The 19957-nt window shown below is 51.3% G+C and overlaps 2 protein-coding genes across 8 annotated transcripts, besides 5 other annotated features; one reads left to right on the top strand and one right to left on the bottom strand.

Annotated features, from left to right (window-relative positions):
• BUD23 (BUD23 rRNA methyltransferase and ribosome maturation factor) lies at positions 47–14662 on the bottom strand. 7 transcript variants are annotated; one of them, NM_001202560.3, is made up of 13 exons: positions 14586–14662; positions 14455–14492; positions 11528–11623; positions 11359–11441; positions 11164–11260; positions 7247–7343; positions 5613–5663; positions 4845–4930; positions 4590–4635; positions 4209–4267; positions 743–793; positions 565–654; positions 47–427 (listed from the first exon to the last, which is right to left on the bottom strand). In NM_001202560.3, exons 1-13 carry the CDS (start codon positions 14631–14633, stop codon positions 373–375), a joined length of 897 nt encoding a protein of 298 aa, NP_001189489.1. In that variant the 5' UTR covers positions 14634–14662; the 3' UTR covers positions 47–372. The 7 variants fall into 7 exon arrangements, 5 of the variants coding, with proteins under 5 accessions (NP_001189489.1, XP_006715910.1, NP_059998.2 ...); NR_037776.3 differs by lacking the exon at positions 743–793 and having other exon boundaries at positions 14259–14492; XM_006715847.2 differs by lacking the exon at positions 743–793 and having other exon boundaries at positions 14358–14492.
• Positions 8113–8282: a silencer, noted in NCBI's record as "fragment chr7:73104307-73104476 (GRCh37/hg19 assembly coordinates)". NCBI's record gives its function as "represses an EF-1alpha promoter that drives an FKBP-Casp9 reporter gene in an ReSE screen in HepG2 liver carcinoma cells {active_cell/tissue: HepG2}" and the evidence as "EXISTENCE:reporter gene assay evidence [ECO:0000049][PMID:32094911]".
• Positions 12255–13104: an enhancer, noted in NCBI's record as "H3K4me1 hESC enhancer chr7:73099485-73100334 (GRCh37/hg19 assembly coordinates)". NCBI's record gives its function as "activates a minimal SCP1, AML or CMV promoter by ChIP-STARR-seq in primed H9 embryonic stem cells {active_cell/tissue: H9 hESC(primed)}" and the evidence as "EXISTENCE:reporter gene assay evidence [ECO:0000049][PMID:30033119]".
• Positions 13105–13954: an enhancer, noted in NCBI's record as "NANOG-H3K27ac-H3K4me1 hESC enhancer chr7:73098635-73099484 (GRCh37/hg19 assembly coordinates)". NCBI's record gives its function as "activates a minimal SCP1, AML or CMV promoter by ChIP-STARR-seq in primed H9 embryonic stem cells {active_cell/tissue: H9 hESC(primed)}" and the evidence as "EXISTENCE:reporter gene assay evidence [ECO:0000049][PMID:30033119]".
• Positions 14806–17341, top strand: DNAJC30 (DnaJ heat shock protein family (Hsp40) member C30). Its single transcript, NM_032317.3, has one exon. It carries the CDS (start codon positions 14836–14838, stop codon positions 15514–15516), a length of 681 nt encoding a protein of 226 aa, NP_115693.2. The 5' UTR covers positions 14806–14835; the 3' UTR covers positions 15517–17341.
• Positions 14885–15054: an enhancer, noted in NCBI's record as "active region_26127". NCBI's record gives its function as "activates an Ori minimal core promoter by ATAC-STARR-seq in GM12878 lymphoblastoid cells {active_cell/tissue: GM12878}" and the evidence as "EXISTENCE:reporter gene assay evidence [ECO:0000049][PMID:35858748]".
• Positions 15295–15384: an enhancer, noted in NCBI's record as "active region_26126". NCBI's record gives its function as "activates an Ori minimal core promoter by ATAC-STARR-seq in GM12878 lymphoblastoid cells {active_cell/tissue: GM12878}" and the evidence as "EXISTENCE:reporter gene assay evidence [ECO:0000049][PMID:35858748]".
• Positions 17342–19957: the final 2616 nt, after the last annotated feature.

Genomic DNA, 19957 nt, shown 5'->3' with positions numbered 1-19957 from the left:
GGAACTGGAGTTTGGTGAGAATCACAGAGCTGGGAGATGCCAGAGCTCCACAAAAGGAAATTTTATTTCTTGCCTTTAAACAAAATAAGATGCTCTCAGAGCTTTTTTTTTTTTTTTTTTTCCTCCCTGGAAAGGAAGTTTCATTATGTTGCCCAGGCAGGTCTCAAACTCCTGGCCTCAAATGATCCTCCCACCTCAGCCTCCCAAGGTGCTGGGATTACAGGTGTGAGCCACCACGCCCGGCCCAGAGAACTTTTTTTTTACTGCAGAAAACATTTTTATAACTTTAGAACTTTTCTAAAATACTACTTTGTCAGCTGAACAATATAGAAAAGTGCAGAGGCAAGTGCCTTTCCAGAACCGCGTGGTGACTTAGAAGCGGGGCTTGCGCTTGCGGCCGGTGTACTGGGTGTCAGGTCTGACTTCCCTGTGCAGAAAAGGAATAGGACAGTCTCAGAAAAAAAAGATCAAAGCAGCCCTGGACCCTTCAAATAAAGGGAAGCTCTTCATGGCAATAGTCATCCACCCCCCACCCACCCTGCCAGCTCCCAGGCTGGCACTCACCTGCCCTGGCGCCTGTGCCGCTCCTTCTTCTCCAGCACCCATGCCCGACTCTTCCTCACCATTCCCCGCCTCGACATCCTTAATGGGAACCTGTGGCGGAGACACAGCTATGAGCTGATGGACAGCTGATGGATGGGGCTGCCCGACTGGCCCCCATGTGAATCCATGGCAAGCTTACCTCCGAGTCTGGTGGCCTCGGATGCCCCTTCTCTCAAATGCTCCACCTTCCCTATAACACAATTCCCCGCTCTGGACACCCTCCTTCCTGATAACATCCATCCGGGCCACAGAGGTTGTTGGGTGGGCAGAGGAGGAGAGAGCTGGGCCGGGCATGGAGACCTAAACACCAGCGAGCAGTCTGTTCCCTCTTCGGGAAGCAGCTAAGCAGCAGTAAGCAGGCCGCTTTCTACCAATGCAATGACACATCATCACCTAGACTTCAAGAGCACAGTCGACAGTTCACAGCAGGAGCTTAGGGTCCCACAGCTTGGGGGCAGGAAGACAGGGATGGAAAGGAGGGTCTGAAAAGGAAGGACTGAGGGGTATGAGGGAAGAAGGAAAGAGGGCGGGGTAACCCCGAAGACCCCTGTGACCATCCGTAGAAACCAGAGACAGGGCAAGCCAAGGAGCTGCCATTCGGATGCCTGAGCCTGATGAGCCAGCACAAAGCAGGAGCAGCTGCAGAGCAGGGCTGGGGACACAGGAGGAGTCATCTCAAGATTCTACAAAGAGTACAAAGTGAGGGCAGAGTGGCGAACCAGGGGGCAAGAGGTGAGCCATGGGAGAAGCAGCAAGGGGGAAAGTCATCAATGGAGCTAAAGGAAGGAGGTGAAGACGGGGAGTGCCCCAAAGCACAGGTCCCAAGAGAAGTGGGGGCCCAGCCCTGCAGGAGGCACATGAGAGGCATGGGAGGGAGGCGGCCAGGAGGAAGGGAGGAACAGGCCAAAAAGAGAGCCTGGAGACTGATTAGGTAAAGACTTAAAAAACTTTTTCTTAATTCACCTGTTTATTTAAAATAAACAAGTGTCCTGAATGTGGTTAGACTGAGATGACAGTAACGGGAGAAGCTCCTCCCTGCCCTGTACCTCATCTGAGGAACTGGAAGTGAGAGCCTACAGAACGAGGGATGGCAAGGTACGTGCTGGGCACCCTCAACACACTGCCAAGATAGGTGGCACTACCCCTACTTTTTGAATAGCTGAGGAATGGATGCTCAGGTCATTCAACTTACCCACATTTACTTTTAGGACATGTCGTTTGAAGACACCAGTGTAAGGACAAGAAGGATCCTAAGACACATGGAGATAAGGCAATGTGTACTTCCCCTGGGAGGGAGGAGATGGGAGTGCTCCCTGGGAGCACGAGATGGGCGCCTCAGAGAAGAGGTCATCCAGAAGGGTCCCAGCTCCCCATGGGGAATGGACTAGGGAAACTAAGGGAAATGAGCAAAGACCCAAGGGGTCAGGCAGCATAAACCTATGGTGGACGTGAGGAACATGCATGGCTGTGCCCAGCTGTGGGCCTTCCAAACACATGCATTTTGGGCTCATTTTTCCTCTTAAATGTCTTAAAGGTCTTAAGACCTTTCCCTCATGTCAACTGGACCTCAGATATAACCTCCCTCTTCACTACCTTATAATCAATTATTCATTCAGAAAAATACTGAGCACTTTTTACTAACAAGACACTATTTTTAATGTCAGGGATATAATACCAGTCCTCACCAAGTTTTCACTCTAGCTGGAGATACAAATAATAACCAAGTCAACTGGTATGTGTATGACTTAGAGCAGTGAAGGGTGTTAAGGAAAATCAACATGAGCGGGGAGCACAACTGCAATGAAGGCACTAAAAGAGCAATGACAAGATACAACTTACATTTTAGAAAAAAAGAAAAAGACCAGTCTTGCTGCTATGCAGAAAATAATCTGAAAGAGGCAAAGACTGCAAAGGCAAGGAGACAACACAGGCAGCTGTTCAGCAATCCAGGCTAGGGGCAGTGCTGGATTAGGCTCGTTGGAAGCAGGGAGGGTCAGCACGGGGATACACACTGAGGGACGGACAGCAGGGCTCAATGACAGGCTGACAAGATGTGAAATGTAGGGAAAGACAGGAATGATCAAGAATGGTAAAGAATGGAGGATGAGGCCAGGCGCAGTGGCTCACACCTGTAATCCCAGCACTTTGGGAGGCCGAGGCGGGCGAATCACGAGGTCAGGAGTTTGAGAACAGCCTGGCCAACATGGTGAAACCCTGTCTCTACTAAAAACACAAAAAATTAGTTGGGCGGGCGCCTGCAATCCCAGCTACTCGGGAGGCTGACGCAAGAGAATCGCTGGAACCTGGGAGGCAGAGGTTGCAGTGAGCCGAGATCAAGCCACCGCACTCCAGCCTGGGGGGAAAGAGTGAGACTCCATCTCAAAAAAAAAAAAGAATGGAGGATGGCCAGGCATGGTGGCTCACATCAGTCATCCCAGAACTTTGGGAGGCCGAGACAGGGGGATTGCTTGAGGCCAGGAGTTCAAGATCAGCCTGAACAACATGGCAAGACCTCATCTCTACCAAAAACTTTAAAAATTAACCAGGCATGGTGGCATGCACCTGTAGTCTCAGCTACTTGGGAGGCTGAGGCAGGAGGATCATTTGAGCCCAGGAGTTCGAGGCTGCAGTGAGCTAAGATTCCACCACTGCACTCTAGCCTGGGTAACAGAGAGAGACTACCCATGGAAACTCCAGGTATAGACACTGAGGGGGCATTGGGAAACCCCAGGTGGCAAGAGACTGAAGATACACATTTGGGAATTAGGACCTTCCGGCTGGCATTTACAGCACCACAGGTAGAGAAGGGATCCAATCCAGGCTGGGCCCAGCACTCGAAGAGGAAGCAGCAGTGGAGTGAGGAGCAGCCAGGAAGGCTGAGGAAACCACGATGGTGGGTGGAAGGCCAAGTGAAGGAAGCGTCAAGGAGGGAGCGCACTGCTGTCTTTGACCCTACCGAGCAGGCACATTAAGGACATGAAAAAAAGTCACAAGTGACCAGATGTGGCTTGATGGAAATTGGTGGTGGAGTTGACAAGAACAATTTGTGATGAGACAGAATTGTCAGCCTGAGAAGTGGATTGAGAGAATGGTGGGAGGGGAAGAAGAGGCAGGTCTGAGTTCTGCTATGAAGGGAAGCAACAACGGGGTGGTTAGTTGTTGTTATGGGGTTAAGGAAGGAACTTTTCTAGAAAAGGAGAAATTGTGCAGCATGTCTGTGTGCCGACAGCAGTGACCCAGGAGAGTCAAGATGAGGATGCAGGAAGGAAGGGAGAGCCACAGCACCCAAGGGAGAGGGTCCCAGATGCAGGTGGAGGGCAGCATCAGAAAAGAAGGAGACAGCCTGCCAGGCGTGGCAAGGGGAAGGGGCATGTGTGGGCTCACAAAGGGAGTCCAGGCTGCATGGCTGCACCCAGACATCCAGGACCCCAAACCCCTAGCCCCAAACAGGCACAGTCCAAATGGGACCTGATGTTTCTACCGTCACCTTGGTGTCCCTGCTGCATGTGACCTGAGAGGCTTGGGTGAGGGCAGAGAGAAAGTCCATGTCTAACAAATGTGGCAGCCCCCGCTGCAGCCGGGGCAGGCTTCAGCAGTTGCTTTACCTCTCATTGGTGAACACAGACTCCCTGGGTTCAACTTCATCCTGATTTTCACTCAGCCCCTGCAGGAACCAAAGTGCACTCAGGTCACCCTGGAGAGTTCTCAAACCATCTGCCCCACTCCAGAAGCCCAGGCACCCAGGCCTGACCCTTCCGACAGGGACGAGGTCCAGTCCCACGAGAAGGAACTGACACGCCTTTCTGGGACCTGCAGAGCAGAGGTCTCTGCCTCCAGATTCCAGAGGATGTGAGCACTCCAGGGTCTGCACTCTGGGGCTGGGCCCTGCTTCCCCACCAGTGTTCTCCCAGCAGGCTCTGCAGGCTGAGCCCCACTGCCTGGAAGTCAAAAGACACAGGCCTGCCTGCAAACCCAGTGTCCCTCACCTCTGGTATAAAGGTCGAAGGCCCAGAAAACAAGCAGAGGTAGAATCTGAAAGGAGAAAGTGCAAAGTGAGGGTTGGGTGGAGAAAGCCCCACAGGGAGACAAGCCCTCAGCTCCCCCACCCGCACCCCCTCCGCCTGCCTGGACCCTGGTGACCCACACCCCAGCACTCCTCTGCACCACTGAGTGGCCTGAAAGGGCTATGCCACTACCCTCCCTCCTGCAGCCCAGGCAGCACACCGGCCCCCAGCGCTCACTTCTTTGCTTTGGCACTGTTAGGGTAGTCTACCACCATGCCACCGGAGAAGCCTGCCTTTGTGGCCTGGGTTGTGATCAGCTCCAACTGAGGAAAGAAAGGCAGCGGGTCAGGCAGCGGAGGTTGAGAGGAGCAGACAGCTTCACCTCCCTCCCCTCCTTCAGAAGCCAGTCTGCTCCAGGACAAATCCTGCCTGGGAGAACTTAAGGTCGCTGTAAGCCACGTAGAGAAAAGTACAGGCTAGAATCTGGCATGGCCCACACCTCCCTCAGGAGAATTACAGAACAAAGCAACTCCCCTCATTCTCACTTTCCAGTGCAGGGACCCAGCTCCCCACTCAAGTTTAGGGAGATGGCCACCAATTGGAATCCAGAGTCATTCATGTTATTAGTCAGGAACAGCTCTTCACTTATCTTTCAACATCTACATCCTACTCCGCCATTCCTTAATTTATACATCACACAACGGAGAACTGTCGGTGCCCTCTCACCCTTCCTAAATGGCATTTACTTATTTGGTTATGGAAATCAGTCGCATCACCTTATCTGTAATACCATGTCATCTGCCAAGAGAAGGCATCCCACCCCACCTCCGCAGATGCCACCCCCTTAGGATATCAGGTCATCAAATGTGCCATCAGGGGCCACACTAGGGTGCATGTTTCCTCCTTTTCCCGCCAATCTGCATAAGATTCTTTGTCGCTTCCCCAGGACAGCTTACCTGTTGAGTCCCCCAACTCCCCGGCACACCCAGTAGCCGAGGGACTCACCTGCTCTGAGTTCTCAGGGTACAGCTGCAGGACAGCTCGGGATCCCCGGACCTGAAAGAAACAGGAACATCACTGTCTTACAAATGACTGCATGAGCTTAGGGCCTGGACACCCCTCTCTTCCTTCATTCACCAAGTATTTCCTGAATTTCCATTATGTGTGAGGCATTGTTAGGGCTGGGGATAGTATGAACAAAAGAGATCACCCTGAACTTTGGAGCTCACATTTTAGTAAAGGAGGCAACTAATTCACAGTAGCAAATTTTTTCTTTGTTACAAAAAGAGGAATTAGACAAAGTGACAGAGTTTCCTTTCAGTTCAGTTTACTTTTGGTTCCAAAAAGGCCTGTTTCAAATGGATACTTGAGCAGAGATTTGAATGGAGTGAGGAGCTGGCTATTTAAACATATAAGGGAGGAGCCTTCCAGCAGGGAGAAGAGGAAACACAAAGGACCTCAGAACTAAAATATTAACCCAGTGTGCCAGGAGGAGAACTCATGTGACACACAAGACCAGCGGCCAGATAGGCAGGCGCAGTCCACCCCAGGAAAGGCCAGCGGCCACATCAGCAGGGGCAGTTCACCCCAGGAAAGACCAGCGGCCACATCAGCAGGGGCAGTTCACCCCAAGAAAGACCAGTGGCCAGATCGGCAGGTGCAGTCCACCCCAGGAAAACTAGGGGTGGGCTAGACCAGGCTAAGGAGGCAAAAACCACTCAGATCCTTCAAAACGGACTCATTTTTAAGCTGGGCACAGTGGCTTACGCCTATAATCCCATCACTTTGGGAGCCTGATGCCAGACAATTGCTTGAAGCCAGGAGTTTAACACCAGCCTGGGCAACATAGGTAGACCCCATCTCTTAAAAAAAAAAAAGTAAAAAATTAGCCTGGCATGGTGGTGTGTGCCTGTAGTCCAAACTACTTGAGAAGCTGAAGCAGGAGGATCACTTGAGCCCAGGAGTTCGAGGGCGCAGTGAGCTACGATCACACCATTGCACTCCATCCCAGGCAACAAAGCAAAAGTCTGTCTCAAAAAACAAAATTTAAAAAGAACTCATTTTTAGGACTTAAAATCTCAGACTATCAGCTAATCCTAGTGAACAACTGAAATTAACATCATTAATTTGAAGACAAAGCTAATAAAGGCTCTCTTTGCAGTAAATAACTATCCTGTTCCTCATCCGAAGAAAAGGATCAGCACTAGGAGGAGGGATAAGTGAGGAGTCAGAAGGATGTGGGCACTTTGGAAGGTACCCCTCTGGATGGTCCGGACACGACATCTCTGTCCTCACTCTGCTCAGTCCATGCCCCCAAACCAACTTCTGATTAAAACTCAGCGCAATAGACATAGGAATACCAATCAACAGAAGTAGGCCCTATTACAAGTTAATAAATTGGTCTCCGATTTTGGTATCAGTGACTTCTGGGTTTGATTAGAGTATATCAGTCCACTGAGCTTGAACTTCCATTTAGGCTGAGGACCTGGACAGAAGTAACCACAGTAAGGTCCTGCCACCCCATGCGGTCCCATATGAGTAGCTTACCCATCATGGGACACCTCAATTTCCTCACTCTACCTGCAGTGCTAGGGAGGGACAGGCAGCTAACCCAGATGGGGAGAAGATCTTATACTCACGAGAACAGAAAAAAGAGAAGCAAAAAAGCAGTACAGGCGCTTGGCAGGGTTTTCAGACTTCTTGTTAGCATTACAGAGCCACTGCACAGCAGAAATGCTAAAAAGGAAGGGACCTAGTCAGGCAACGGAGCAATCCACGTTGCTCCCCCAACCACTTCAAGCCTCTTGACATCATCCGTCCTGGCTCTCCAAGAGAAACCCCTCCTCCCACAGCTTCCCTTCTTAGAAAGTGCAGGTTGAGGCCACGTACAGTGGTTCAACGCCCTGTAATCCCAGCACTTTCTGAGGCCAAGACAGAATTGCCTGAGGCCAGGACTTCAAACCAGCCTGGACAACATAGCAAGACCCCATCTTTACTTAAAGTATTTTTAAATTTAAAAATTTAAAGACAAAAAAAGTGCAGGTCCACTGCAGGTCATGACTCTACAACACTGGAAAAATAGGACATACAGAAGGACAGCATTTATGTCCCATAGTCCCAAGAAACCTTTCCTCCACCTTGTTTCCATCTGCATCTTGAGTTGAAAAGTCCTCCGTGTCAAGGCTGTCTGCCCACACACCCCTCCTTGTTCCCTTCCTCCAATCCAAGGAAACAGGCTTTAGACTACTCACATACACACAGCCATCCCATCACCCTTCCTCCTAAATCACTCCCTTCCACTCTACCTGTTAAGTGTCTTTACAACCCCCAGATTTAAAACCTCAAGCAGCCAGGTGCATTGGCTCATACCCGTAATCCCAGCATTTTGGGAGGCTGAGATGGGTGGATCACTTGAGGTCAGGAGTTCGAGACCAGCCTGACCAACACGGTGAAACCCCGTCTCTACTAAAAATACAAAAATTAGCTGGGCTTGGTGGCATGTGCCTTGAATACCAGCTGCTCAGGTGGCTGAGGCAGAAGAATCACTTGAACCTGGGAGGCAGAGGTTGCAGTAAGCCTTGTGCCACTGTACTCCAGCCTGGACAACAGAGCAAGACTCCATCTCAAAAAATAAATAAATAAAACCTCAACCAGTCACTATGTCTTCCTTCCTGCCCTTCCCCTCCGCCCTGCTGTACACACACAGAGCCCTACCTCCACCCCACTGGCTTGTCCCACAGCCTCTCCCAACTTTCACTTCCCCGCACCAATGCTCAGTGCTACCAGCTCAAATGCTTCCACCTAACTCTCTCTCCTCTTTCACCAGAAAATCACCTTCCTTAAACACACATCTGATCCCGTCACCTGCCAACTCCCCATCATCTACTCCATCAAGCCCAAACTTCTTAGGACACACTTAAGTGCCTTCTAGGAAGCAACCACACTCAACCCCATCTTCCGTGGAATCTCTCGTTCATCCCTCTCATCTCAGACCCCTTTCCCACCGGCATCTGTGCCTCTGCCCACTGTTCCCTCACTCAGAAACCCTCTCCTTGACTATCCAAATTCCTCCCAGCCTTCAAGGTGCAGCCCCTCCACCCAAGGCTTTCCTGTGCTCTGGCAGCCCCATGACTCCCTAGGGCACACACCACTCATGCCCTTATATTCAGTTGCCTGGTCCATGTCCTAAAGCACCTAATAAACCGTGGAGAGTCTTACACGCAGAAACTGTTTCATTTCCCTGTACTCCACAGCACCTTGTACGCCTTACATGTAGCAAATGTTTAAAAAAAAAAAAAAAGTCTGGGCCGGGTGCGGTGGCTCACGCCTGTAATCCCAACACTTTGGAAGGTTGAGGCGGGCAGTTCATGAAGTCAGGAGTTCAAGACCAGCCTGGCCAACATGGTGAAACCCCATCTCTACTAAAATACAAAAATTAGCCAAGCATGGTGGTGAGCACCTGTAATCCCAGCTACTCAGGAGGCTAAGGCAGGAGAATCGCTTGAACCCAGGAGGCAGAGGTTGCAGTGAGCCGAGATCGTGCCACTGCACTCCAGTCTGGACAATACAGTAAGAATCCGTCTCCAAAAAAACAGTTTGCTATACCATCTCACCTCTCCCCGAAGACAAACAAAAACTGACCATCCCCTTCCGAAACATACAGACCATACTGCTGGCCTTCGGTTTTTCACAGCTTAAAACACCTCATCTGACCATTACCAAAAAGCATCTGCTACCCTTGAAATTATTCCCCAACCCCCCTGGGTCTTGTTCCCAGATGTAAAAGGAAAATCTTCTAATCTGAATTTTTACCTCTCACCTGGCTCCCCACTTCACATCCCCACCACTCAACTTAGGGTAACCAAAGGAAGTCTCCCCTGCAAGTAATGATTTGTAACTTCCTCCCCTATTTTCTCACTTTCACTCCCACACCACACCAAAAACTAAACAGAACTGATCACAGCAGCCTAAGAAAAACTTAATCAATTTTAACATTCTAAGATCTGTTATTGAAGTGCTATGTGGATGTTTAACCCGACTCTGATTACAGAGAAAGGACTGTGAAGCACTTAAGAGATTAGAGCAAGTCCAGACGCTCTCTACCAGTTATCTGTTGGCAAATAAAGTAAGATGGCTGCTGGGGCCCACAAGATGGCTGGGGCCCATAAAATGGCCGCTAGAGACTAAAAGACCACCTCCTCTGCCCCACCAGACACACAAAGCTGACACAGAATCTGTACCAGTGGTGCCCGAACCCGGCAATGCAAAATAATCGCAATAGTAGACAAGTTTTATTTTTGAGATGAAGTGTTGCTCTGTCACCCAGGCTGGAAGTGCAATGGCGTGGACTCGGCTCACTGCAACCTCCGCCTCTCGGGTTCAAGCAATTCTCCTACCTCAGCTTCCTGAGTAGCTAGCTGGGACTACAGGTGGCCACCACCATGTCTAGCTTTTTAGGCTGGGCGCGGTGGCTCACGCCTGTAATCCTAGCACTTTGGGAGGCTGAAGAGGGCGGATCATGAGGTCAGGAGATTGAGACCATCCTGGCTAACATGGTGAAACCCCGTCTCTACTAAAAATATAAAAAAATTAGCTGGGCGTGGTGGTGGGCGCCTGCAGTCCCAAGTACTTGGGAGGCTGAGGCAGGTGAATGGCTTGAACCCGGGAGGCGGAGCTTGCAGTGAGCCGAGATCCCGCCACTGCACTCCAGCCTGGGCAACAGAGAGAGCCTCCATCTCAAAAAAAAAAAAACAACAACCACGTCTGGCTTTTTAGTAGAGGCTGGGTTTCACCATGTTGGCCAGACTGCAAAGTTTTAGAATCCAAAAAAATACACTCTTGGGCCTTGCTCTAACCTTGTAAATCTGAAAATCCCATGGGATGTGTATTTGTAAATATCTGCATGAGTCTGCTGCACAGCCAGGTTTGGGAGGCACTGGCTTGCAGGACTAAAAGCAGGAAGAAAGAGGCCAGGGTGGCTCACACCTATAATCCCAGCATTTTGGGAGGCCCAGGTGTGTGGATCGCCTGAGCAACATAGCAAAAACCCATCTCTACAACAAATACAAAAAAAGTTAGGCTGTGCACGGTGGCTCACACCTGTAATCCCAGCACTTTGGGAGGCCGAGGAGGGTGGATCACAAGGTCAAGAGATTGAAACCATCCCGGCCAACATAGTGAAACCTCACCTCCACTAAAAATACAAAAATTAGTTGGGTGTGGTGGCGTGCTCCTGTAATCTCAGCTACTTGGGAGGCTGAGGCAGGAGAATCGCTTGAGCCTGGGAGGCGAAGGCTGCAGTGAGCCAAGATCACACCACTGCACTCCAGCCTGGTGACAGAGCAAGACTCCATCTCAAAAAAACAAAAAATTAGCTAGGTACGGTGGTGTGGGCCTGTAGTCCCAGCTACTCAGGAGACTGAGGTGGGCAGATCACCTGAACCCAGGAGGTGGAGGCTGCAGTGTGAGCCATAATCACAGACACTGCACTAGAGCCTAAGTGATAGAGTGAGACCCTGTCTCTAAATAAATAAAAGCAGGAATTAAAGACCCTCACCTGATGCAACCATCAAATGTGCCTGGCTTGAATGGGATGCCCTGGCCCATATCCCCCAGCAGCAGGTCTCCCTCTATCTCTCGGTCCACAGCCTCATCTACATTAGAGAAAAGGCAGTCAGAGAAAGAGAAATACCTGTGGCTTCTCCACACCCATCAGGGTAATCCACCCTGGTGCCAGACAGGACATACTTACCCAGCATGGCAGGGCTGATATCCAGGCCCACCCAATAGTGCCCTTCATCTGACAGATAACTTCCACTCAGCCCAGTGCCACAGCTGGAAGACATGACCAGACACTCAGGGTCAGTTTACAAAGACACTTCACCACCTTAGACAATCTGAACCAGGCCCCAGAATCTCACCCAATATCCAGCAGGTAACAGGGCTTATTCTCTGGCAGATAAAGAAGCTCCAATGCTCGCCCAGCCATCCTGGTCTGGATATCAATCATCCGTGAGCTGGTAAGGCAGAAACACAAGTGGACATGGTAAAGGAGTTCTGGGTGAATACTTCCCCCAGACCAAAAAACAAAAAACAAAAAAAAGCCAAGTTAAAAACAAACAAAAAACGGATCAATCATCCCGAGGTACTCTTTTCTGACCCCTTCTAAGTTGGGATCAACAAATTCAACCATTCGAAAGTGACCCCAAAAATTCCATGTAATTCAGGACCATGTTATTTTGTGGTAACAACTTATCATTGCACCAGCTGCCAAGCAGATGTGTAAAAGCAAATCACTTAGCTAGTAATAAACAACCACTGGGATCTGCAACTCTATTAGGCTGGGCTGCTCTAGCACTTGTTGAAAACATTTTCTCCAAAAATTATTCTCCATAGTTTCTCTCATCTAGAAGGATCAACAATGCACAAAAACCTACAGCAGCACTGTCTGTGAGAAACAGAATGTGAGCCACGCATGGCTTCCCAATAGCCAGTCAAGAAGAAACTTAAAGAAACAGGTAAAAGAAACTGGAGTCATATTTTTTTTTTTTTTTGAGACGGAGTCTTGCTCTGTTGTCGCCCAGGCTGGAGTGCAGTGGCGCGATCTCGGCTCACTGCAAGCTCCGCCTCCCGGGTTAATGCCATTCTCCTGCCTCAGCTTCCCCAGCAGCTGGGACTACAGGCGCCCGCCGCCACGCCCGGCTAATTTTTTTTTTTGCATTTTCAGTAGAGACGGGGTTTCACCATGTTAGCCAGGATTTCTCTATCTCCTGACCTTGTGATCCGCCAGCCTCGGCCTCCCAAAGTGCTGGGATTACAGGCGTGAGCCACCGCGCCCGGCCTCTGGAGTCATATTTTTAACCCCATATATTTAATAACGTATTTCCATTAACTCAATATGTTCAAAATATCACTTCAACATATAATCGACATAAAAAGTCATCAGCAAGGACCGGGCCTGGTGGCTCACGCCTATAATCCCAGTACTTTGGGAGGCCAAGGCGGGTGGATCCCGTGAGCAACTTACCAGATCCCTGGGCAACATAGCAAAACTCCCTCTCCACAAAAAAATTACACAAACTAGTCGGGCGCGAGGAGGCGCGCCTGTAGTTCCAACTACCCGGGAGGCGAGGTTGCAGCCACTGCAGCACTTCGGCCTGGGCGATAGAATGAGAGCCTGTCTCACACGCACAAAAAATTATCAAGCTATTTCAGCCGGTGTGGTGGCGAGTGCCTCTAGTTCCGGCTGCTGGGGAGGATGGCTTGAGGCTGCAGTCGGCAGGGATCATGCCATGGCACTCCAGCCTGGGCAATAGAGAGACCCTGTCCCTAAAAAAAAGAAACAGTATCCAATAGCTATTTATTTATTTATTGAGTCAGGGTCTCACTCTGTCGCCAAGGCTGGAGTGCAGTGGTGCGATCGCAGCTCACTGCAACCTCTGCCTCTCAGGTTCAAGTGATTCTCCTGCCTCAGCCTCCCGTAGGCCCGGCTAATATCTGTATTTTCAGTAGAGACGGGATTTCACCATGCTGGCCAGGTTGGTCTCGGAATTCCTGACCTCAGGTGATCCGTCCACCTCCGCCTCCCACAGGGCTGGGATTACTGGTATGAGCCATAGCGCCCGGCCAGTAACCATTTACTGAAATAGGGCTAGTCTCTCAGTGAGAGAGCACGGAAAAACCACAAAGTATCTTTTTTTTTTTTTTTTTTTTTTTTTTTTTTTTTTTTGAAACAAAGTCTTGCTCTGTCGCCCAGGCTGGAGTGCAGTGCCGTGATGTCGGCTCACTGCAACCTCCCCCTCCCGGGTTCAAGCTATTCTCCTGCCTCAGCCTCCCGAGTAGCTGGGGTTACAGAAACCCGCCATCGCGCCCGGCTAATTTTTTCCATTTTTAGTAGAGCTGGAGTTTCGCCATGTTGGCCAGGCTGGTCTCGAACTCCTGACCTCAGGTGATCCGTCTGCCTCAGCCTCCCAAAGTGTTGCGATTACAGGCGTGAGACACCGCGCCAGCTTCCCCCCGCCCCCATCCCCCCCCCTTTTTTTTTTTTTTAACGACTCGAGGTGCGCTGGCTCACGCCTGCAATCCCAACAGTTCGGGAGACGAAGGCGGGAGGATCGCTTGAGCCCTGGGCTTGGGCCACCTTGGGCAACACAGCGAGACCCCATCGCAACAAAAATTTACAAAAAAAAGCCAGGCGTAGTGGCGCGCGCCTGTGGTCCCAACTACTGGAGAGGCAGAGGGGAGCCACCACACCCGGCTAATTTTTTTATTACTTGCGGAGACGGGGGCTCGCTACGTTGCCCAGGCTGGTCTCGAACCCCTGAGCTCAAGCGATCCTCCCGCCTCAGCCTCCCAAAGTGCTGCGATTGCTGAGATTACACGCGTGAGCCACTCCCACCTGGCTACAACTCAGTAGTTATACAAACTACCCTCTATGAAATTCAGACAATAATACACCAACTGCTGTCTTGGAGATTTATTGGCAACAAGGCGCCACGATAAGCATCCTACGGCCATTACTTCCTTCCCCCCACCAGGACTGACCCCTCGCCCGTACCCACCGCCCAGCGCCTCTTTTACCACATGTTTAGGACAAATTGTCACATTCGACTTTGAAAACCACCCACGGAAAGCAAGCGCGATCACCCCTACCTCAACGCTGAGGTACCGAGGCCCAGAGAGGTCGGCAACTTAAAGTTGATTTACCAGAGACAGAAATCGGCACCCACCCGGGTCCTTCCCTTCCCGCACCCCCAAATTCTACGGCCTTTCCGGGCAACGCCAGCAACAGGGGCAACTTGCCGCTTCCCGACCCCCGGACGCCCCGCAGTATTCAGGCTCCCCTCACTTGCGAACGTATTTCCGGGCTTCTGTCTCGTCATAAAACTGCGAAAAAGAGAAAATGGCATGTAGAGGAATAATTCAGACGCGGTGGCCGCAGAAGTGGGGAGAGGGGTGTCCGCGGGCCCCGGGACTTACCAGCTCTGGGGGTCCGCCATGCTCCGGACGCCGGCCGCGGGACGCCATTCTCACGCCTCAGCAGCACACCTGCGACTGGCGCCTGCCGGCACCCGGTTTTTATGTCATCAGCCCGGCGACCGCTTAGTAATACGCATGTTCCACCCCCACGACCGCCCCGCCCCCCCCTTTACGTGACTGGCCACAGGGCGACCAACCGACTCCTCTCATTGGCCGGTTTCTCTTGCACCGCCTGCCGAATCAATTCAACATGGCAGCCATGCGCTGGCGATGGTGGCAGCGGCTGTTACCTTGGAGGTTGCTGCAGGCCCGTGGCTTTCCACAAAATTCTGCACCCAGCCTGGGCCTAGGAGCGAGGACTTATTCCCAGGGCGACTGCTCGTATTCGCGCACGGCGCTGTATGATCTGCTCGGCGTCCCCTCCACAGCCACGCAGGCCCAAATCAAGGCGGCTTACTACCGTCAGTGCTTTCTCTACCACCCGGACCGCAACTCCGGGAGCGCGGAGGCCGCCGAGCGCTTCACGCGCATCTCCCAGGCCTACGTGGTGCTGGGCAGTGCCACCCTCCGTCGCAAGTATGATCGCGGCCTACTCAGCGACGAGGACCTGCGCGGACCTGGCGTCCGGCCCTCCAGGACGCCCGCACCCGACCCCGGCTCGCCGCGTACCCCGCCGCCCACCTCTCGGACCCACGACGGTTCTCGGGCCTCCCCCGGCGCCAACCGCACGATGTTCAACTTTGACGCCTTCTACCAGGCCCACTACGGGGAACAACTGGAGCGGGAACGGCGCCTGAGGGCCCGGCGGGAGGCCCTTCGCAAACGGCAGGAGTATCGGTCCATGAAAGGCCTCCGCTGGGAGGATACCCGAGACACGGCTGCCATTTTCCTCATCTTTTCAATCTTCATCATCATCGGCTTTTATATTTAATCGGAGAGAGAAGGGAAGGGGAGTGTCCCCAGCCAACCCCCCAGAAACGGCCTTTTTTCCTGCCTCTGAACCCTTGGCCATTGATAGTCTACCTTTGCTGGGATCCGAAGGAACTGTACTCCCCCTGCCCTCCCCGACCCGCCCAGCTTAGCCGATGACCTGCACATCGCTCCACTGTGGTCCAGAAAAGGAGGCCTTTCGATGTCTGAGAAAGAGGCCCCACGCTGTAGAGTCCCGAAAGCCCAGGAGTGAAGGGGGTTCCTGGAGTCTCTAGGGTGCTTCTTCCAGAGTCTGTCTTCTTGCTTCCAGATGTGGTCAACTTCTGGAACACTCGCTGTAGCTTTATTGTTTAGCCCCAAGCAAGATTTATCTCCTCCTGCCCCGCATGTGTATGGTGGGCCTCTGTAACCTTGAAATGTGCAATGTGACCAATTGTTGACTACCAAAAGAAAAGGTCTGGGGTTGTACGAAACTTGTCTTTCTGTGACTTCCCCAAGCCGCAGGTGAGACCTGGTCCAGGGTAAGAATGGGATCGGTGGAGAGCCTGTCGTTCCTCCCGCTAAGGTCAGCCCCCTGGGGCACTCCTCCTTATGTTGATAGCATGTAGGAGTGAGAAAAAGTCATTGAGCATAAGGAATGAGTGTTCCTGTGCCCATATTTAATGTGTGACCTTGGAGAAGTTACTCTGTAGGCATGACAGCAGAGGAGAAAATCATTTGGCATCTTGAGGTCTGTCATGCTTTATTATCCATAGTTTTTGGGGGGTTTTTTGTTTTGTTTTGTTTTTGAGATGGAGTCTTGCGCTCTGTTGCCCAGGCTGGAGTGCAGTGGTGCGATCTTAGCTCACTGCAACCTCCACCTCCCGGGTTCAAGCGATTCTCCTGCCTCAGCCTCCTGTGTAACTGGGATTACAGGCTCCCACCACACCTGGCTAGTGTTTTGTATTTTTAGTAGATACGGGGTTTCACCATGCTGGCCAGACTGAGGTCTCGAACTGCCGACCTCAGGCTGTCTGCCCGTCCAGCCTCCCAAAGTGCTGGGATTGCAGGCATGAGCCACTGCTCCCGGCCCTATTATCCATAGTTCTAATCCACAGGGATTACAGCATAATGCTAGCAGGGCCAGGTTCATCCTTGAGACAGTGTGGCTGGCTGTCACCTGGTCCTCCCTTTACCAGCCAGCCCCATTGCACACTGTGCAGCCCATCCCCTCCCAGAAATAGAGTGACAAACTCTGCACTTAAGTCCCCTGTTTCTGTTTAACTTGCAGTGCTTATCACAGGCCCTTCCTTAATTTTTTAAACAAGGCTGCTTGAGGCTGGGGTAAATTTTGGGGCTTTGGGAGTACACAGGACTACTGAGGGACGGGGAGTTGGTGGCTTGGTGTTCATGGTGGAGACTTGGTTCTTTACGCAGAGCAGGCTAAAGGCGTGTTTTTTCTGCTCTGTTTCTAATTCATGTTAAGTAGTTGGTCATCACTTTGGTCAGAGCTGCTGCTGAAGCTCTCTTAACTGTGAGTCACTGGACGTTGGCAGGGAGTTGGCTGTGAGATTGTAGGTGCTCAAGTGTTTCTGTTCGGGACTGAGTGTGAATCTGTAAAAGGGGAAAATCCTCGCAAGAGGTCTACGAGAAGGATGAGGGCCCAAGTCTAGGGTCTAAACAAAGCCAGGAGTGGTTTGGTATATTACTGAGTGCAATCATTGCGTGCCATTCCTGCACTCAATGTATTGTGTAAAATCCTTAGGTAAAATGGGATAAACCCACAGCTGGTCCTACTTGGCCTCTTGAAAACCATTCCATCATTGTGCCAATCTAGCCTGAAAAGGAAAAAAAAAAAGGGAAACCATTGATTGTCTCTTGCCTCGGAGGTTGGGGGTATGCCCCTACTCCAGGCTTTGCAGTGATCATATGATGCAGTAATGAAGATCTGGGGCCTGGCACAACACTTTGGGATCCACCCAAGGCGGGTGGATCACTTGACCTCAGGAGTTGGAGACCAGCCTGGGCAACACGGCAAAACCCCATCTCTACAAAAATCACAAAAATTAGCCGGGTGTGGCAAGTGCCTGTAGTCCCAGCTACTCAGGAGGCTAAGGTGGGAGAATCGCTTGAGCCTGAGAGGTCGTGGTTGCAGTGAGCTGCGATCCTGCCACTGCATTCCAGCCTGGGCTACAAAGCTAGACCCTATCTCAAAAAAAAAAAAAAAGAAAAAGAAAAAAAAGATTTGAGCCCAATCTGGTTCAGACCTGTTTGGCTCAGTGAGCCTGGACTTGGGGGAAGGGGATATGTACTTTTTAAAAGAACATTTATTGTTACTATGTTTCATATTTAGAAAACAGGACAGAGACTTTTTTCTGGAAAAACAAAACTGCAGCAAGTGGAGTTTCTTTTTTCTGGAAAAACAAACTGCACGAAGTGGAGTTTAGCAAAATGTTCTGAAACTAGTGCTTCTCAACCAGTAAAGCAGGCACGACAGAAACAGTGGGGCAAGGGCTTTTTGTTCTAGTGAAACAGGTGGCCTCCTTTCGATGTGGGTTTGTAAAGCACTAGTGGTCTAATAGCATGGGCTCCTTGAGATAGACCTCTGAAGTTTGTTTTCTCAGTCAAGATCCCAGCCAGGAACGTTCCCTGTGAGCCCCCGAATCTGGGGTACATAGAAAATTCCAGAAGGTTCAGACTGGGGGTGGGTCCAGACTAAGGTAAACTTCTGGGACATTCCATGAAACTCTAAGCAAAGTATTCTATAAGGTTTACTAACCATCATCCAATCCTAAGCCTCTCCCCTGACTCAGCACAAGGCCTACTCCGTAATGTCATCCCTTTATGCCTCAGGGTTTTGTAGGCCAGAGCTAATGCCTGAGGGACCCCACTCCCTGCCTGCCCTGAAACTGAGCCTGTGCTCTTCATGGAAAGGAAAATGTGTGGGAGGCTTTTTGAAGGACCCCCAAAAGGTTCCCATGGTCACATTTTCCCCCCACCCACTCAGATTGGCTTGAGTCTTTTCTTTCTCTGCTGCTACCTGGCAAGTGGAGGCTGAACTCGGCCATGACCTTAGCCCCTGCCTTCTAGGGGCTATTCCATAATTCCTGGTTGTGGAGGATGGCTCAGACATGCCCAGCCTTAATCCTTTTTCTTTTTCACAAACTGAAACAAAACTCCCTAGAAGTTTGGACCTAGGATGGGAGAATAGGGTAAAGGGGCCCAGCCTGGCCCAGGCTGTGCTCAGTGGGGTGGGGAGGGGGTTACTGGTATAGCACGAGGCCGAGTGAGCCACAGGCGTGGTTCCTAAATGGGGAGACAGAGGCCACAAGACAGGAACCAAAGGCGCACAGGTCTAGGTAATTGTGGTGGTGTCTTTGGGCTTGAATGGGACTTTATTTCTCCTGAGCCAAACTGCTTTTTCCCTTCTGTTGCCCTTTATTTATTGCTGGGTGAGATGACCCTTTACAGATCCCAGTGTTGAGGAAGTAGGCTTTCTCCCTCTTCCTTCTGAGGTTCCGGCATTTCATTCATTGAGTGCACCTCTGTATGAGCCAAATTGATTAGGAATAGCTTACCTTAGGCCACAGAGCTGTCCTACTGGGTCACGATTGACTTGGAGTGGCCACCAACACACCCTTTTTTGGAAATGGAAGAGGTCTGTGTTTCAAACTGTTGGGCTTCCTGGAAGGTCGCCAGACCCTGTGCAAACAGGCTGAGAGAGGGACGGCTGATAAGTGGTGGTGCTACCTCAGTCCACACTCTGGAATTCAGTGCACTAGAAAAGCGGGCCCTGTCCTGGCCTTTGCCTCCTCTCAGTTCCTCAGCGCCATGATGAAGTCACATGCTGCCACCTGCCCATGGGGAAGATCATGAGGGAAAGCCCAGCACAATGGCACACACCTGTGGTCCCAGTTACTTGGGAGGCTGAGGCAGGAGGATCGCTTGAGCCCAGGAGTCCAAGACTAGTGTACAAAGATCTCGCCTATGAATAGCTACTGCACTCCAGCTGGGCAACACGCAAGACCTCATCTCTAAAAAGAAAAACAGGCCGGGTACGGTGGCTCACCTCTGTAATCCCAGCACTTTGGGAGGCCAAGGCGGGCGGATCACCTGAGGTCAGGAGTTCGAGACCAGCCTGACGAACATGGAGAAACCCCGTCTCTACTTTTAAAAAATACAAAATTACCTGGGTGTGGTGGTGCATGCCTGTAATCCCAGCTACTCGGGAGGCTGAGGCAGGAGAATCACTTGAACCTGGGAAGCAGAGGTTGCAGTGAGCCGAGATCGCGCTATTGCACTCCAGCCTGGGCAACAAGAGTGAAACTCCGTCTCAAAAAAAAGAAAAACAACATCATGGGAGAAGACCTACCTTAGCCTGCCCTCAGCAGCTCAGCTCCGAGGTCCAGCTTGCAGCCGTCGTGGTTTTGTGCAAAGCAGCTGAGTGTCCCTCTGTTAATGTG

This window comes from Homo sapiens, chromosome 7, assembly GCF_000001405.40.
Source record: "Homo sapiens chromosome 7, GRCh38.p14 Primary Assembly".
Taxonomy (NCBI): Eukaryota; Metazoa; Chordata; class Mammalia; order Primates; family Hominidae; genus Homo; species Homo sapiens.
This window is presented reverse-complemented; position numbering and strand designations above follow the sequence as displayed.

Coding starts and splice junctions, on each gene's coding strand:
- BUD23 (XM_006715847.2), bottom strand. CDS start 14,605: ATGGCGGACCCCCAGAGCTG. Junction 11,261..11,358: donor TATCAGCCCTGCCATGCTGG/GTAAGTATGTCC, acceptor TCTCTAATGTAG/ATGAGGCTGTGGACCGAGAG. Junction 655..4,208: donor TCTGTGTTCACCAATGAGAG/GTAAAGCAACTG, acceptor TCTCCGCCACAG/GTTCCCATTAAGGATGTCGA.
- DNAJC30 (NM_032317.3), top strand. CDS start 14,836: ATGGCAGCCATGCGCTGGCGATGGTGGCAGCGGCTGTTACCTTGGAGG.